At 41.8% G+C, this 19,464-nt stretch overlaps 1 protein-coding gene across 6 annotated transcripts in view; it reads right to left on the bottom strand.

Annotated features, from left to right (window-relative positions):
* Positions 1-228: 228 nt before the first annotated feature.
* The window catches only part of USP13 (ubiquitin specific peptidase 13), a 136,362-nt gene continuing 117,126 nt past the window's right edge, over positions 229-19,464 (bottom strand). For all 6 annotated transcript variants that reach the window (NM_003940.3, XM_011513269.2, XM_017007426.2 and 3 more), the window contains 2 exons: positions 7,807-7,891; positions 229-5,582 (listed from right to left, as the gene is read on the bottom strand). In NM_003940.3, the coding sequence (NP_003931.2) occupies positions 5,489-5,582; positions 7,807-7,891 (179 nt within the window). In that variant the 3' untranslated portion in view covers positions 229-5,488. The remainder of the gene's footprint in view (positions 5,583-7,806; positions 7,892-19,464) is intronic.

Below are 19,464 nucleotides of genomic sequence, written 5' to 3'. Positions count from 1 at the left end.
CTCCGCCCTGCCCCAAATCCTCCCTCCTCCACAGAGGTAACAATGTGCCACCACTGATGGTCCACTGTGATGGCTGCCTGGTAACGCCAAGAACCCCTAAAAAGAAATAAGATTAGTCATTGTCTCAAGTTACCTGTTCCACTGACAGATGAAAACAATCAATGGCAGAATCCGTTTACTTGGCATTTTTCAAAATTAAAGAAAAAAAGAGCCATAAAGGGCCTCAGATTGTGAGAATAGCTTTTAATTTAAAACAATTGAAGCAATAAATCATCCATCTCTCTTTCCATCTCAGGCAAATAATCTCCCAAAACATTTGATACAGTTTAACAACAACTGTGACTAGTGCAAAATAAAATAAATACAAACTCTTTCAGGAGCCAACATCAAAACCTGCTGGACAGGTGGGCACAGGAACAGACTCAGCCTCTGCCAAGGCTGAGACAAGCGGCACATCAAGAGTGGCAGGATTTGTGCAGTGTTTCAACACACCCAGCTTTGAACAGACTCAACAATACCTGGGGAGGGGAAACCACAAGAGGATTTTGCCTACAATGAAACAAATATGCCCAACACCCTCAAGTGGCTAATATCCTTGGTACCTAGAAGATGCTAGAAGAGCAAAGGTAGCAGCTCCCAGGCAAAGCTGAAGACAGGCAGTTTGGGGCTCATTTGCTTTTGTCTTTTAATTGGGATCATACATATATATATTGGTTTTTCGGCAGAAAAAAAAAATCTGCTTTCTGGGAGATGTTCTGTGCCTCACAGTGCTCCTGACTCCAGCAAAAATATTTGTGTTGTTTCTGTCTATTTAGATACTTTGCAGAATTGCGTTTCCTATTTACGGATTTCACTGCCTACCCCACACCATGTAAGTCTAGAGTGGGGCTGTCCAATAGAAGTATAACGTTATCCACATGTCTAATTTGAAGTTCTTTAGGGGCCACATTTTTAAAAAAATAAAAATGGGTGAAAAGAATTTTAATTTCAATTATATAAATATATTAAATTGTTAATATTTTACTTAGTACATCCAAAATAGTGTCATTTCAGCATGTTATCAATATGAAATATTGGTGAAATATTTTAAATTCCTTTTTGGTACCAAGCCTTCAAAATCTGGTGTGTATTGTATGTGTACAACACAGTCTCGATTTGAACAAGCCAAACTTTGAGTAGTCATCGCCACATATGGCTGTTGACTGCCACATTGAATAGCACAGGTCTACCGAGTCTTATGCAAACTCTTTTAGAGTGATTTATGGAGTGGAAAATCTCTGTAACACTGTGCAGGTGATCTCAGACACCAACTCAAGAGTACAGAACCTTGTTCTATAGCGTAGGATTTCTTTTATCTAAAGGACATTATCACACTTTATCTAATCCCATCCCCTGGTCCTGCCCCTGCCCCCTGCCATCTCCCCACAGAAGGCATGTACTGATGTGATTTAGCAGCAGTGATGCCTACAAGATGACAAGGACGGCCTTTCTGTGGTAGACAATTTTGTCAGCACTTATTTGGGGATCACAGCTCTAGCTAAATTAGAATTTTGTTTCCCATCCTCTTCCAGAATTTCAAAATATTCTATAAAGGTGACAGATGTAGTTGAAGGCAGTTCTGAGGCTTTTCTAGGAGGACACTTTAAATGGATTTTTTGTTTTGTTTTTGAGGGGGATGGAGCCAAAGTACCTCATGGACTAGAAAGTTGTTTTTTTCAAGAGTAGAAAAAAAGTGGGGCTGGACGCGGTAGCTCATGCGTGTAATCCCAGCACTTTGGGAGGCTGAGGCAGGTTGAGGTCAAGAGTTCAAGACCAGCCTGGCCAACATGGCAAAACCCTGTCTCTACTAAAAATACAAAAATTAGCTGGGCGTAGTGGCGTGCGCCAGTAATCCCAGCTACTTGGGAAGCTGAGGCAGGAGAATCACTTGAACCCGGGAGGAGGCTGCAGTGAGCTGAGATTGCACCACTGTACTCCAGCCTTGGCAACACAGCGAGACTCCATCTCAAGAAAAAAAAAAAGTGGGATGATTACCCAAAAAAGTATAGATAAGTGGAGCAGGAATACAAACAGAGGGGTCGTGGGGCCACTAAGAATGACACAGGTCCTCAACTGGGGAGTATAAGCTGTAACAATGCAAAAATATAACATCCAAACCTCTAAGTGATCCCTCACATTTTACGTGTCAGACCCTAGTGGTAACCACAGGAAAATAAAAATAAAATGTTAGGGCAAGAGAGGACTTTGGAGCTAATCTAGTCTAACCCACTTGTTTCAAATGAAAAGGCCCAGAGAGGTACAGTGATTCAGTCCCACCTCACTTAGAGTGGAGTCAGGATACAGACCCAGGTGCTCTCACTATGAATTGCAGGTAAGGCTCTGTTCAGGTAAAGGGAATAAATGACTCAGGGAGCAAGAGGCTCGAGCTATCCCCGCTGGACTTCCTATAGCCCAAAGTAAGCACTGGGAAATGTCAGGCACATTCTCTTGCAGGTAGGAGAAAGCAGCCTGGTCAATTCCAAAATATTGAAGCAACGTTGATGTAAAGTGTCACTAACACATGATTCTTCCAATAGTCTTTTCTGCATACTTTTTTTTTCTTTAAAAGAAAATCCCAATCTGAACCAAACTGGATTTCTGATTAGTTATATGGGCATTTAGATCAATTGGCAAAATAAAAACTTTGATACATTACCTTTTCCAAAGACATATTCATTGGAATTCTACATAAATGGATATCAAAAGATATTTACAGGAAGAAAGTGCTGTCTTTCACACAGACACCCATATACAGGGAGAATTTCACAATTAGACCACCATGCCTCACATAGAGGACTGCTAACAGACTGATAATGAGTTGACAAAATCCACACGTTATTCCACTTTTCAGTCACAAATAATCGTGTCTACACAAGTGTAAAATTAAGCAGTACATTCCAGACTTTTATAGGGGAACCTGCCTTGTATATATTGAGATACACATATAAATATGCTTTTAAGCAAGTAAGAAACCCATTATTTACTCCAGTTTTTCCCAACTCTCAATCTGAAGTAAAGAATAGCACATATACAAAACTTTGCCTTGTAGAAATAGCCCTTTGTGTTGTGGGGCAGAAGAAAAGGCAGCCATAGCACAATTTTTTTACAACATGTCTAGGCATCAAAAGGGCTAGTTAATGAAATCAAACAATTTATAGCCTATAGTCTTAAATATTGATTTTACATCACTGATTTTTAAAAGTTTTATTACAAAATTTTTATTTTATTCAAAATACACATGCTATCTTTGTCCACATTTCAATCCAAACCACCCAGTCACCCCCAATTCCAAAAAACAGGCCTTTGTTTTATAACATCGCTGAAAACAAGCCATTTTTGACGTGGGTTTGGAGTCATTATTCTATGACACTCACTCTGCCCTAAGGGGACTGGATTTTGTAAGGCTGCTTACTGTGGGGATGTCCACGGGAGTCAGTGACTCTCATAACAGAGTGGGACTGCTTTAGGAAATCCAAGTTAACATTAGGAGGTGACACCAGTGGGCACACTTTGGTAGAAAAGTACTGCACCGTGAGCTCCCTCCTTCTGCCAATCTCATTTGTTCCCAAATTGAGGAAAACAGAGGAGAAAAGGCAGGGAGCACCATCTACTACAACCCACCATGGCATACCACATTCTACTCATTGAAGGTTCACTGTAACCAATCTCACTGTATCCTCAAAGCATGATTGAAAGAGAGGGCAGGTGTCATCATACCATTGTTCAGATGAGGACAGTGAGGCACAGGACGGATGAAGGACTTGCCCAAGGTCCACAGTCAGCTAGGAGCAGCACCCAGGTCTCCAGGCCATGGGCCTTAGACACCATGTCTCTCGGTCACATGGCACCAAAGGATCACCTATGAGACAGGGACCCCCATCACACCCAGAATCCTGATTGTTCACAACTCACTACATCCTAACCCAATGTCTGTGCTTTGTTTCACCTGGTTGGTTCTGTTTATTTTCCTACAGTTTCTAAAAAGATCCTTTCAACCAAACAAATACATGTTAAACAGACAGCAATAAATTCTTTTTCGTTTGACCAAATACTCTGAAATAGCAACTCCAGAGACTCTAGAATTTGGTACGGACCAGTAGGAAAATTATGGAAATTATAGAATGCTATCATTCCACTTTTCATCACGTTGGAAACTCTAATCTAATCCCAGGTTGCAACTAAAATGCTGAAATAACCAAAATGGAAAGGATAGTCTTTCATAATGTTGTATAAAGTTTCTTTGCATCTAAAATCCTTAGTGTGTCCAAGATCACACTGTTGGTCACATCAGACAAGCAATGAAGGCAAGTCAGAAGGTGATACACCAAAAAAAGGCAGAGATGAGACTCTGGCCCCAGAAAAACAAGGAAACGGAGGCAGATAAAGAGCTCAGAGATGGGAAAATCACAGACAAATTTGGGGCACTTGACATGACTCCAAAGAGTTATCATGTGAGATGGTAAAAAGAGATTAGCTATTTTTACTAAAAATAAACACCATACCTTTTGGGGAAAGGGCTGCTGAGAAACAGAGAATTTACCTACCTTTGACAAAGTACAATATTATGCTGCTGTGGGCATCTAGCATTACACCAGCAAATGTCCCAAACCCAAGTGAATTCTTGACAGCACTTAAAGGCATAACTCAGCCCTTTTTACTCCTTAAAAATCTAAGTGGGGAACTAATCTTCTCGAAGGTTCCTGAGTCATAGTTTTGTTAAAATATTTACTTGCTTTTTTCAGATATGCTTAATATCAACTGTTCAGACTTTAAAAACCAACTTGTCACAGATTTTCTAGTGGACTCACTTTTCTAGTAAAAGTCTCACACTCTCAGTCAGTCTCACACACATTCACACAATCGTATTATGAATTTTAATGTGACAAATTAAAAATATCTTTCATTGCAGAGGCTCTATTATGGACAGAGCATAATATCTACATGGATACATCAGAAATTATTGTATGTCATGAAAAAAATTATGTCACAAATAAAGCCCCACCCAACTGCTGATTTTCTATATGAAACACAAGTGGGCTTTTCATTTGTTGTGGGTAAGGCCACACCACTGGCCACATTATTTGGTTTCTCCAGAGGCCACTATCACTGACCCCCAAAGCAAAATAGAGGGCTGGGGGCACATCCCCATTTTTGATGTGCTGATGGCAGATCCTCCACCAGCAATATGAATACTTTTTTTGTTTTTAAATATCATCATCTTTTTGAACATTTATAAAAACTATCTACAATATAATAGTGTATCATCACTAATAGAAATTTCTTCTCAGTTCTATTTCAGAAGGTGTCAACTGATCGTGCTCTTTAAATAAACGATAAATACCCCATATATTCCTTCATGTCTAGTTGTTTCAACTTCTTCTTCTTCTTTTTTTTTTTGGCAAATTAAAAAGGCGTATGGCTTCTTTTCGCCAATTTTTATATTTGAGGTTTAGCTTGGTATCCTGCGGTAAAAGTACATGTAGCCCAGGTCTTTAGGGGGCCTTTCTGAGGCACAAACTTTGTGGTCATTGTAAATCACCCATCTGAAAATAAGACAGAAGCATTTGATGGATTTAAGTCAGTTCCAGGAAACTTTACACAAAGAAGTCACTAAATCATATGGCGCACAACACTTAACCATGATGTTTTAAGGTACTATACTCAAGTTCGTTGTATAAAAAGGGACAGAATGCTGGTAGGGAATCACAACTGCTTTTTTTTTTTTTTTTTAAGAGACAAGGCCTCATTCTATTCCCCAGGCTGGAGTAAGGTAGCACAATCTGAAGCTTCGAACTCCTGGGCTCAAGGGATCCTCTCGCTTCAGCCTCTGGAGTAGCTGGGAACACAGGCACATGCCATCATACCCAGCTACAACTGCTTTTTGATTCTTAAGCTCCATCAAAAAGTAGTTACTAAAATGTATCAGGAACCTCCAAACATTTTAACCTTTGATCCCATAACTCCCTTTATAGAAATCCATAGATAGCCTGAGAAATTGAGTCAAAGAATTATGTACAACAATGCTTATTTCAGTCTTAGTATAAAACTAGCTTAAAACCAGAATTTTAAAAAAATCCATGCAGTGAACTATTATAGAACTATTAAAATTTCTTCAAAGAATATTTGGCAAAGTGAGAAAATAACCATGATATAATATGAAATGGGAAATTACTGGTTAAAAAATTGTATGCACTCTGCACATACTTTAAGCTTTTAGTTAAGTTGTAAATACGTGTGTTTATTTATATGTAGTATGTGTGCATATAGACATATATATACTTTCTTCCAGTGAGACAATAAAACAAAGAAAAGTATATCAAAATGTAGACAATGGTTATTGTTAGGCTTCCAGGGTACATATTCTTTGTATATTTTTATATTTATAAATTATTTACTATGAATTTTATTGCTTTTAAAATTATAATTAAGCTATTTTTCTTTTAAAAAGCATTTTTATTTTATTTTCTTTGACTTCATTCCATAAAGTGTTTTTTAAAGCGCTATCGTGTTTGTAATAAAAACAATTCACCACAAAGATTAAGTCCCAGCCGGGTGCGGTGACTCACACCTGTAATCTCAGCACTTTGGGAGGCCAAGGCGGGTGGATCACTTGAGGTCAGGAGTTTGGGACCAGCCTGACCAACATAGTGAAACCCCATCTCTACTAAAAATACAAAACTAGCCAGTCATGATAGCACATGCCTGTAATCCCAGCTACTTGGGAGACTGAGGCAGGAGAATTGCTTGAATTTGGGAGGCGGAGGTTGTAATGAGCTGAGATTGTGCCATTGCACTCCAGCCTGGGCAATAAGAGTGAAACTCCATCTCAAAAAAAAGAGATAAATTCCTGTGCTCAACTATTTTACCAAGTTAAGAAGACAAAACTAAAAAGACACACCACAGAAGAACACAATGGAGTCCAGGTGGGAAATGGCCACTCCTGCAGTGGGAGCCATGGAGCAAGAGGCCACCCTCAGGCATTTCTCCAGCATCCACATGGCCTGAGCACTGCCCTCAAGCAGAAGTGCCAACCCACAGGCTACTCAGTTTGGAGTTGCAGGAAGGGCACCAGTAGGTCCTGTAGGGATCCAGCCCAGGGAGAAGGTTCTGAAGAAAGCAGCAGCCTTTCATTCCACAACTGTCTCATTTCCGGTTCACTACACACTTAACAATTCTACTTAAGAAGGCTGAGAAGCCAACTGCAAGGCTGTAGTAAGGCAAAGCACTGAAGGTTTAGAGCTGCCAGATAAAACACAGGTTACCCAGTTACATCTGAGTATCAGGTAAGCAATAAGAAATTTCAGTAGAAGCATGCCCCATATAATATTTGGGACATAGAATATTTGAAATTTATTTATACTAAAAAATTATTCATTATTTATCTGAAATTCAAATTTAATAGGGCATCCTGGTTTTTCCTGTCTTGTTTCCTTTTGTTGGCTAAATATGGCAATCCTAGGGAGGTTCCAATTACAGCATACATTCTGCTGCAGGATGCATCTTTATTTTGGGAGGTCACCTTGGTATGATAGTTGAAAGTGGCTTTGAATATCAGCTCTCACACAGCTACTTACTAGCTAAGGTCAAGCTATTCAGCCTCCCTGAGTCTCGGTGTCTTGATGTGCAAAAGGGCGTTAACAGTATACCCTTTACAAGACCAATGTGAGAACCAAATAAGATAACATACAATGTACCTAGGAGAGTGCCTGGCATATAGTAGGTACTCAATAAATCACAGCTAACATTTACCTTCTAAAAATGACTCACCTTCCTTCCTTTTTGATATGGCAAATGTAATGACCACTCATTGTGGATGTTCCCATGTGACTGATGAATGCAAATAGCTCATATGCTGTGAAAGAGGAAACAACTCAGTTACAAGGCAGCATTTCCAGAATGAAGAGCACTTCTGGTTAGAATTTAAAACCAACCATAGTATAATCCAGCAACTGTTTAGATTTGAAAGACAAGGTCTATTTACCTTGCTATGTTGACAACACACACATACTCAGAGGGACACTAAACTCAACCTGCAAATTTGTGATCAAAAAATAGGACATAAATTATCAAAGCACAGCTGATGTTAAATTCAAATGTGGAAAGGGATTTAAAAAATCCCACAGCCCGGTCTGGTGGCAAGCTTATGGATCTAAAAGGGTAGTCCTGGCTCTATCACTTCCAAATAGCACGAGGGTGGACAAGTTGTTTCCTCTTTCTGAGCCTGTTTCTTTGTGGGGATTAAAAAAAAAAATCCACCCACTTCGCAGGGTTGTATAAAACTTAAATGAGCAATTCAGACTGAAATACCAAACAAATGTCAAAATTATAAGGAAGAGAGCAGATAACTGTTATCATTTGTAGAAAAGGATAATGCTTTGTGCAAGATTTTTCACTTGCTCATGATTATAACGTAGGTGGGACCAAACTTCAGGCTTCATGTTTTCTGAACAAAGAGATATATGGCCTCTGAGAGGATGAGACCAATGTTTATTCTCTAACAGGTACCTCTTGCATCATACCCAGTACTCTATGATATCCATGTTGAATCCATTTTAGTTCATGTTGCCAAAGTGGCTTCCATGGACAAGTACCAGTCCACTCAGCAAACCGTTACAGACTACAATGAGGTAGTATGGAAACTGAGAGAACACATTTACAAGACTTTAGAGTAAATGAGAGTAAAATGTATGTCTGTTGAATTTAATAAGGAAAAAAATGGGCTTGCATATTGATTTTGCTAGTGCTCCACTTTTACTACATTTTCCAAAAGAAGTATTGGTTCTGGACAGAGTTTTTCTCTTACCCCTCTGTCTCTCATTCTTTCTCTCCTGCTTTTCACTCAGGCTCATTCAACTTACTCAGCTGTCAATCCCTAGTCCTCATCTTACTCACTCTTCAGCAGCATCACATTCTGTTGATGACCTCCGTTCTCAAATACTTGCCTCCAGGACATGACTCTCTTGGTTGTACAGCTGCCTTACTGCCTTACTGCTTCCCTTCATCTCCCCGACCTTTGAATTTTGGTGATCTGGGGTTCAAACCTTCTTCTTCCCCCCCTATCCAGACTCTCTTTCTTTCTCTCTCTGGCTGATATCATGTTAGTCTATGGCAGTAAATGATATTGTTTTCTTAATTTCATTTCTGGAATGTTCATTGTTAGTGTATAGAAATATAATTTAATTTTGTATATTGATCTTGTTTCCTGCAACCTTGCTGAACTCATTTGTTAGTTCTAATCATTTTTTAGTCGATTCCTCTGGACTTTCTATATATGAGATTATGTCATCTGCAAATAGAGACAGTTTTACTTCTTCCTTGATAATCCAAATAACTTTTACTTCTTTTTCTTGCCTAACTGCAATGGCTAGAACCTCCTGTACAATGTTAAACAGAAGTGTCAAAAGCGGGCATCCTTATCTTCTTCCTGATCTTAGGAGGAAAGCATTGAGTCTTTCACATTAAGTGTAAGGTGAACTGTGGGGTTTTTGTAGATACATTTTATCACGTTGAGGAAGATCTCTTCCATTCCTAGTTTGCTGATCATTCTCCACTCAGCCTTATCTATCTCAGTCAATGGCAATTCCATTCTTCCAATAACTCAGGACAAAATCTTGCCTTCTCTCTCACACCCTTTATCAGCAAGACAAAGTCCAATCCATCAGCAAATCCTGTATCTAGAATCCAAATGCTTCATACAATCTCCACTTGTAGCCCCTCATCCAAGTCACCATAATATCTTGTCTGAATTACTACAATGGCCTCTTAATTGGACTCCTTGCTTCCTCCCTTTCCCCCACCAACTATTCTCACCATAGCTGCCAGAGTGGTTTTTTTTCTTTCTTTTTTCTTTTTCTTTTTTTTTTTTTTTTTTAACAAACCCTTGCGTCAAAGGCTGACTTTCAACAGATTGCAGCAAGGGAGCTGCTCTGCTACGTACAAAACCCCGACCCAGAAGCAGGTCATCTACCAACGGTTTAGTGCCAGGTTGCCCATGAACGTGTGAGGGCGCAGCTGCCTTTCTGGCTGCACTCTGTTGTTCTCTTTTTTTGTTGTTGTTGTTTGACATGGAGTCTCGCTCTGTCACCCAGTCTGGAGTGCAGTGGCGCAATCTCGGCTCACTGCAACCTCCACCCCCTGGCTTCAAGTGATTCTCCTACCTCAGCCTCCCAAGTGGTGTTACAGGCGCGTGCCACCATGCCTGGCTAATGTTTTTGTATGTTTAGTAGAGACAGGGTTTCACCATGTTAGCCAGGATGGTCTCGATCTCCTGACCTCATGATCCACCCATCTCGGCCTCCCAAAGTGCTGGAATTACAGGCATGAGCCACCGCGCCAGGCCCATTAGTCTTTTTTTTTTTAATGGAAGTCAAATTGTGGTCATTACTCGGCCCCCAAAACCCTCCAGTGGCTCTCTGTATCACTGAGTAAAATCTCACTCTTGCAGTGGCCTATGAAATCCTCTTACCTCCTCTCCTCATCCCCCTTACTCTGGTCCAGCTACCTTGGCCTCCGGGCTCCTCCTCAAACATGCTTGGCAAGCCCTGACCTTCAAGCTGTTATACCTTCAAGCCTTTATACCTACTGCTCTTTCTTTCTGAAACTCTCTTTTTTCAGATGTCATGTGACTCACTCATCACTTCATTGAGATCTCAGGTCCAAATGTCACCTCATCAGAGAGGCCTTCCTGAACCTTCCTTATAAATAGTAACCCTCCTTCCACACCCGCCCTCACTCCTGTTGCTCCCGTTTCCCTTATCCTGCTTTCCTGTCCATACAGCAGAAAGTAACACCTGCCATGTCGCATTCGTTTTTTTTTTTTTCTTTGAGACGGAGTTTTGCCCTTGTTACCCAGGCTGGAATGCAATGGCGTGATCTCGGCTCACTGCAACCTCCGCCTCCGGGATTCAAGCAATTCTCCTGCCTCAACCTCCCAAGTAGCTGGGACTACAGGCACACGCCACTATGCCCGGCTAATTTTTTTGCATTTTTAGTAGAGACGGGGTTTCGCCATGCTGGCCAGGCCGGTCTCGAACGCCTGACCTCAGGTAATCCACCCACTTCGGCCTCCCAAAGTGCTGGGATTACAGGTATGAGCCACCATGCCCAGCCACCATGTCACATTCTTACTTGTGCACGTATTTATTGTCTATCAGCTTTTACCCCAGGCTAGAATAGGCTCCATAAGGACAGGGAGTTTGTTTTGTTTACTGAGTATTCAGGCACAGAGAACAGTGCTTTGCACACTGTAGGTACTTAATAAGTATCTGTTAAATGTATAAATAAATGAATGAATGAAGGAATGACTCCTTTCGCTTCATTTCCTCACTTGTTTTGTATCTTCTTATAGTGTATATATTTTTGTAAACCTCCTACCAAAGCATATATTGGGGTATAAACTGGTGAAATAATTATTTAATCAGAAATGAATCCGAGAAGATTGCCTTTCCCATAATTAACTAAATTTCTGTTGCTAGCTATCACATCAACTGAAAAAAAAAGAAAAGAAAAAAATCCCAGGTTTGAAATCAGAAGCCAGGCAAAAAAAGTTGTAAATGATAATCATTTTGCCTGGTATTTATTTTTGAAACAGTGATCCAGGCACCTTACCCTTGTCTGCCCTCCAGTTCTGTCTCCCACACTAAGAACCCACCTTTACCTCCCTATGTAAGCAAGAAAGGGAGTGAGCTGAGATCCTTGTGTTTCTTGGCCCCTGTTGGCTTTTTAAGCCCTTTTGGATTAATTCTATATCAAATTCCTAATCTTAAATTTAAGAGACAGTACTGCTCTCCCAAAAATGTGGCTGCTCTCTAAGAATTTTCATGAAATGAAGAGAGGATACAGGCCAGGCATGGTGGCAAACGCCTGTAATCTCAGCACTTTGGGAGGCAAGGTGGATGGATTGCTTGTGCTCAGGAGTTTGAGACCAGCCTGGGCAACATGGCAAAACCCTGTCTCTACAAATACAAAAAAATTAGCCAGGCATGGTGGCGTGCACCTGTAGTCGCAGCTACTCGGGAGACGGAGGTGGGAGAATTGCTGGAGCCCAGGGGATTGAGGCTGCAGTGAGCCGAGATCGCACCACTGTACTCCAGCCTGGGCGACAGAATGAGACTCTGTCTCAAAAAAGAAAAAAAAAAAAAAAAAAAAGAGAGAGAGAGAGGATACAATACCCCAATCAAGGCTTTTCCCCACAAGGATGTCCTGCAAAACAATGGCTTCAGCAATTCAACAGAGTGTTTACTGAGCACTTCCCACCATAAGACAGGGTCACATCAGTGAAACAAAGCACAGATACCAACACAGCCAATGGGTTGACAAAACAGACACAGAGAAAGGACAAATCCATACATCCCACTATATCCAAACATGTCACTAAAGCCCCCCCAAAAGCATTTTCCTCTCTTTGTTTAAAAACAACTCATGTACATACTCAGAACCACAAAAATAAAATTTAAAAGGTTAGCATAAATCTTAGTCCTATTATTTAAATTAACCATGTTTATCAATATAAGCAACTGCTCCATGCATTATTCACGACCTCCTGCTAGGAAACAACAACAAAAGAGAATCTCTCTCAACCCATTTTCAAAAACTAAACAGGTAATAAATCTCAATTTATATTTGTCTCCAAAGAGAAAGTCAAGGTGAATTCACCAGAGAGAGAAGCTACTGTTGATTCTTCTCTAAGTTCCCAGAGACGTCCTCCCAAAAAAAAAAAAAAAAAAAAAAAAACCAGCACTCTAAAACACGCTCCAAAAAACACACACTAAAAAATATTTAAGTTTTTCTGATGAAAGTCAAAATTTTGAAATGTTTATCTTATCTCAAGCTGCCTTTCCTATTTACTTAAAAAGGAATTTCTAACATTTGAAAAATGTTAGAAAAACTTTCAACAGAAAAACCTTCAAAGTACCTGGAAGAATTAGACAAAACTGACAAAACCACTATGTCTCACATCTAGTGGACAGTGTCCCTCCTAATGGGCAGAATTAAACTGTGTCTGAAACTAACATTTCTCCTCCCCACAAAACTTGTCCTTTTTGAACTCCAGGAAAATCTTCCCAACCTTGCTAAGAAGAAGATTTTTTAACATCAAATGTTGACACTACCATCCCTACCCAACCTAACAGCAATTGTACTCTTTGATTTTGTTATTTGAGAAAGGACTGTTTAAAAAGAGTTTATGAAACTTGGAAGGTAAAAGAGGTGGGCAGCATACCCTTTCAATGTCATATAGAGGTAAGGCCACCCAAAGATTATCTAGGGGAGGGATTGGTAAGTGACCCATTAGCCAAATCTGGCCCACAACCTGTTCCTGTACTGCCAAGGAGAAGAAAGGGGAGAAGAATATGAGACAGACATGTATATGGCCCACAAAACCTGAAACATGTATTATCTGGTTCATTAGAGAAAAAAGTTGCTGGCTCCTGATCTAGGGGGATGAACTTAGTTCATCTCACTATTTACTACTTGATATAGTTTGGATGTTTGTCCCCTCCAAATCTCATGTTGAAATGTGACCCCCAATGTTGGAGGTGGGACCTGGTGGTGAGAGGTGACAACGTGCTGGCAGCCCTTGCTCGCTCTCAGCACCTCCTCGACCGTGACATCTGCTCTGGCCACGCTTGAGGAGCCCTTCAGCCCACCGCTGCACTGTGGGAGCCCCTCTCTGGGCTGGCTGAGAGTGGAGCCAGCTCCCTCTGCTTGCAAGGTGTGGAGGGAGAGGCGCAGGTGGAGGGAGAGGCGCAGGCAGGAACCGGGGCTGCGCACAATGCTCGCGAGCCAGCACTGAGTTCTGGGTGAGCATGGGCTCAGCAGTCAGGGGCTTTGCACCCAGGCCAGCATCTGTGGAGGGGGTGCCAGGTCCGCCAGCAGTGCCAGCCTGCTGGCACTGCACTCGAATTCTCGCCAGGCCTCAGCTGCCTCCCCACAGGGCAGGCCTTGGGACCTGCAGCCTGCCATGCCTGAGCCCCCACCGTGGTGGGCTCCTGCATGGCCCAAGCCTCCCCGAGGGGCACCGCCCCCTGCTCCGCAGTGCCCAGTCCCATCGACCGCCCAAGGGCTGAGGAGTGCAGGCGCGTGGCGCGGAACTGGCGGGCAGCTCCACCCACGGCCCTGGCACAGGATCCACTAGGCAAAGCCAGTTGGGCTCCTGAGTCGGGTGGGGACTTGGAGAACTTTTATGTCTAGCCAGAGGATTGTATATGCACCAATCAGCACTCTGTGTCTAGCTTGGGGTTCATGGATGCACCGATCAGTACTCTGTGTCTAGCTAATCTGGTGGGGACTTCGAGAACGTTTACATCTAGCTAAAGGATTGTAAATGCACCAATCAGCACTCTGTGTCTAGCTAAAGGTTTGTAAATGCACCGATCAGCATGCTGTGTCTAGCTAAAGGTTTGTAAATGCACCAATCAGCACTCTGCATCTAGCTCAAGGTTTGTAAACGCACCAATCAGCACTGTATCTAGCTAATCTAGTGGGGACTTGAAGAACTTTTGTGACTAGCTAAAGGATTGTAAATGCACCAATCAGCACTCTGTGTCTAGCTCAAGGTTTGTAAAGGCACCAATCAGCACTCTGTGTCTAGCTCAAGGTTTGTAAACGCACCAATCAGTGCTCTGTGTCTAGTTAATCTAGTGGGAACTTGGAGAACTTTTATGTCTAGCTAGAGGATTGTAAATACACCAATCAGCACTCTGTGTCTAGCTCAGGGATTGTAAATGCACCAATCAGCACCCTGTCAAAATGGACCAATCAGCTCTCTGTAAAATGGACCAATCAGCTCTCTGTAAAATGGGCCAATCAGCAGGATGTGGGTGGGGTCAGATAAGGGAATAAAAGCAGGCTGCCCGAGCCAGCAGTGGCAACCTGCTTGGGTCCCCTTCCAAACTGTGGAAGGTTTGTTCTTTTGCTCTTTGCAATAAATCTTGCTGCTGCTCACCCTTTGGGTCTCCACTACCTTTATGAGCTGTAATCACTGCAAAGGTCTGCAGCTTCACTCCTGAGGCCAGCGAGACCACAAACCCACAGGGAGGAATGAGCAACTCCGGACAGGAGGAACGAACAACTCCAGACGTGCTGCCTTAAGAGCTGTAGCACTTGCCGTGAAGGTCTGCAGCTTCACTCCTGAAGCCAGCGAGACCAGGAACCCAGCAGAAGAAAGAAACTTTGAACATGTCCGAACATCAGAAGGAACAAACTGCGGACACACCATCTTTAAGAACTGTAACACTCACAGGGAGGGTCCGCGGCTTCATTCTCGAAGTCAGTGAGACCAAGAACCCACCAATTCCGGACATAGTGGGAGGTATTTGGGACATGGAGGTGGATCCCTCATGAATACCTTGGTGCCCTCTCCTGGTAATAAGTGAGTTCTCACTCTATTAGTTCAAGGGAGAAGAGGTTGTTTAAAAAAACATGACACCTCTTCTCTCTCGCTTGTTCTCTCTCTTGCCACGTGACACGCTTGCTCCTCCTCTGCCTTCCATTGACTGAAAGCTTCCTAAGGCCTCTTCAAAAGCAGATCCAGCACTGTGCTTCTTGTATACTCTGAAGAGCTATGAGCCAAACAAACCTCCTTTTTTTATATAAATTAGCCACTCTCAGGTATTCTCTTACAGCAATGACTATAAAACTACTAACACACTACTGATTAAAGATCTCATATTTAGTGATGTTACCTGCTAACTTGTAGATTTTTATCTAGTAAAGATACAAAAAAATTCTGTCCAGTAGAACACATATCCTCAAGGATGTATAGATTTATAAATTGGGGTATAAACTGGTAATATAATTATTTCAAGGATTTATGGTCCTGACAGACACTGACTAATTTTTAACCTAACCTGGCAATCTCATCCTAACATTTCTTTTTGAAATTGTCTTTAAATATCCTAGTTCCACAAATGTTTTTAAACCAGTAGTAACATCTGACTGATTCTCTCATTAATTAATGAGTTTTTTAAAATCTGTGATATGTGTTCATTTTACATTTACCTGAAAGTCATGATCTTGCCTTTTGGAAAATTATGCTTTAACAAGTGTAATGACCAAAAGCAACTCTGGATTCAGAAGTGTCTTTAAATGAATTTAATTTTATAAGCCATTATAGCATCTAAAATATTTACAAAGCAGCAGTATCTCATCAGGGCATGACGCATTATTTAGTTAGTCTACAGAGAGTGCTCAGAACACAGAGACATCAAAACACTCCCTAAAATAACTACCAAGACCCCAGAGGCACAGCAGTCCTCTGGTGAGAAAAACTGGGTTCTCATCCAATGCTCTTTACTTGATTAATTTGTGTCATTGCCTATCTCTAACTCCCTCTGTACAAAGCGGGGGAAATAAAATTGCCAACTTACTAACATTTGCCTCATAAGCACCCAATATCTGGGTATTTATCTGGGATATGCTTTTCCCCCACAAGGTATTCATGAGGGATCCACTCCCATGACCCAAACACCTCCCACCAGGTCCCACCTCCAACACTGCAGTTTGCATATCAACATGAGATTTGGAGGGGACAAACATCCAAAGTATATCAGGCGCAATATACAACAAGTTCAATCTCTCCAACAGCTTGATTTCCCCTCATGCCCTCTCTGAGAAAAAACAGTGTGGGAGGGAGGAGTATTTGGAGCTTTCAGAAATTTCTGAATTCTCAAAAAGAGAAGACAGACCTAGGTAAATCAATAACATCGGAAGGCAGCTGATAGCAACAGAATTGTAAAGGGTCTACGAATTGCTTCCCCCAACCCTAGCCAGCTCCAAATTACCAGTCTCTCGGTTACAATGCCGAATGCTCCGAAAGGCAAACACTTCCTTCCAAGTCTAATAGTTCTCCATCATTTATCCTTCAGTGTAAATCAGTTTACTCAAGAGTGGCTGCCTCTTAACTTTCAACAGCACCGCTGAAAAAATTAGGAACTGCAACAAGTGCTAAGTGGGAGGAGAATTAGCACCAGTGGCATGAAGTGTCTATGTGACTTTCCAGTCGACCACTGGGGCTTAGCTTCCCTGGGGAGCTGTACCTTTTGCCCCCTAGATCCTCTTCTGGGTGGCATTCCTCAGGGAGCTCAGCACCTCAGGAACCCCAGCGTTATGCAAATGAACGCCTCTCTGCTCCCTGCCTGGAAAATCTCAGCAGCATCGGAGACATCTAAACCATTACACCAAAGTGGCTGAAGGAGCCAGAGCAGGCTCTGAGTAATCACAGCCTAATCACATGTTAATTTCATTGGCAATCAGTGAGTTCTTTTCTTAAGAAAAATTAAATGCTCATTAAGTGAAACATGAAAACAGAAATGATTTTGCACATAGCAGAAGCCCCGATAGGTCAGAGTGACGGCCTGATTTCTAGCTTTAAAGTTTTAAAAAACTCAACAGAAAGTTAGGTGCTAGCCCTAAAATGTGCAGAACATGGTAGAAAATAGACTCTCGTCTCCATTCCAATACAAAATGTGAAATAAGATGACTCAATCGGGGATAAAGGAAAAACTGCACAGCCTTCAAAATCAAACAGGCCTGAATTCTAACCTGGTTCTACCACTAGCAAACCACTTAGCTTTGTCACCACTTCCTCATCAGAATACCTCCCTATAAGCAGTGAAGGAAAAGTGGTCAAGGAAGTGCCTGGCACAGAGGAGGCATTCAGGAAATGACAGCCACTATTTCATCAAGTGTTAATAGCACTAACCTTTTTAAACAAATTAGACGCCATTTAGATAATCGTTTCATGCAGTAGCATTACTTCCACATTCAGAAAAATGGAAACAGTGATTTTTAATTAACATATTCCTAAAAGGAAAAATTTGATACCTGTACTTCTTTAATCCCTACCCTTGTAATAATAGCTTTTTTCCACTTCATAACACCTACCTTATTATTTCAGTGTTAACCTGGTGTGACAAAGTCCCAGTAGCCACGACCCTCCTTCTTAAAGCAACAGTAACCTAACACTGCTTTTAAGGTGGTAATTCTCAAGTTTAAGCTGCATCAGAATCACCTGGATGTCCTGTTAAAACACAGATTACTGGGCCTCACCCAGAGTTCCTAATTCAGCAGGTCTGAAGTGGGGCAACATCAGTCCTAACAAGTTCTCAGGTGATTCTATTAGTCCGAACCACACTTGAACCAGTGCTTGAAGGAGATCAACCTGTCCCTTCTCAGCTCAGGTGAGAGGATGGAAGATGTCTCCACCCTCAGGTTCTAGGAGTGAGGCCCATAATGCAGGCCTGAATCAACCTGCCTCAGTGACTTGGAGTAGGACAGGGCACATAACGGAGTCTCACAGAGTCTCAGGCTCTCAGGACCTTTGCTGAGAACTCTGGGACAAGACTTAGCTAGATTTTAACCTGGAAAGATATAGTTGTGGGAGGCGCTGCAGCCATCTTGTGCCATTAGGGAGAGCCTGTCTGGGACTGGAACCAACCTAGAGGAAGCAGAGCCAAGGGGCCCATCCAGCTAAAAGGATTTGAGTCCTGAATCACGGCAGGCCTGCAGCCCAGTGCCCCCAGGACTTGCCAGCTTTCATGAGAAAATATTTCCCTTTTTGCTTAGACAGATTTGTCTTGGACTTCTTGCCACTTAAAACCCTGAAAACTGAAGTTGTTTTTATTTTGTTTGTTTTGGTTCCTCAAACACCAATTACCCCTACTCTTTAATTGTATTCAATATTCTCAGCTGGGTGCAGTGGCTCACACCTGTAATCCCAGCACTTTGGGAGGCCAAGGCAGGCAGATCACAAGGTCGGGAAATGGAGACCATCCTGGCCAACATGGTGAAACCCCATCTGTACTAAAAACAGTATAAAAATTAGCTGGGTGTGGTGGCGCGTGCCTGTAATCCTAGCTACTCCAGAGGCTGAGGCAGGAGAATAGCTTGAACCAGGGAGTTGGAGGTTGCAGTTTGCTGAGATGGCGCCACTGCACTCCAGCCTGGCGACAGAGCGAGACTCCATCTCAAAAAAAAAAAAAATTCTCAAGTCATATACCTCAGTCAATTCACCAACCAGAAAAAGTAAAAAGAAATGACTTGGGAATTTAAACAACCTAGCTAAACAGAACACACATCTTCCCAGGTTAACCTATAAATTTAATGTAATGCCAGTCAAACCCCTAGAGAATGGCCAATTACAAAATCGGTACCTTTATATAATTTAGCAGCAATGTTTAATATACAATGGGGAAAATTTGTATTCATAAGTAACAGTGAAAATGTAATTTCGAGATATAACTAAACTAGAAATGCCTAGCATATTTATGAAGAAAACCATACAGCTTTGCAAGAGTTAGAAAAGGGGCGAATAAATCAAAGGAGAAGCATATGTTTCTGGCTAGAAAAACTCAATATTGTAAAGTGATCAGGTATTCCCAAACTAATCTACAGTACATGAAACTCTCATAAAAATCAATAAAAGAA

Source organism: Homo sapiens, chromosome 3 (assembly GCF_000001405.40).
Source record: "Homo sapiens chromosome 3, GRCh38.p14 Primary Assembly".
NCBI classification, from domain to species: Eukaryota; Metazoa; Chordata; class Mammalia; order Primates; family Hominidae; genus Homo; species Homo sapiens.
The sequence above is the reverse complement of the archived record's forward strand: the minus strand, read 5'-3'. Positions and strand labels throughout refer to the sequence as shown.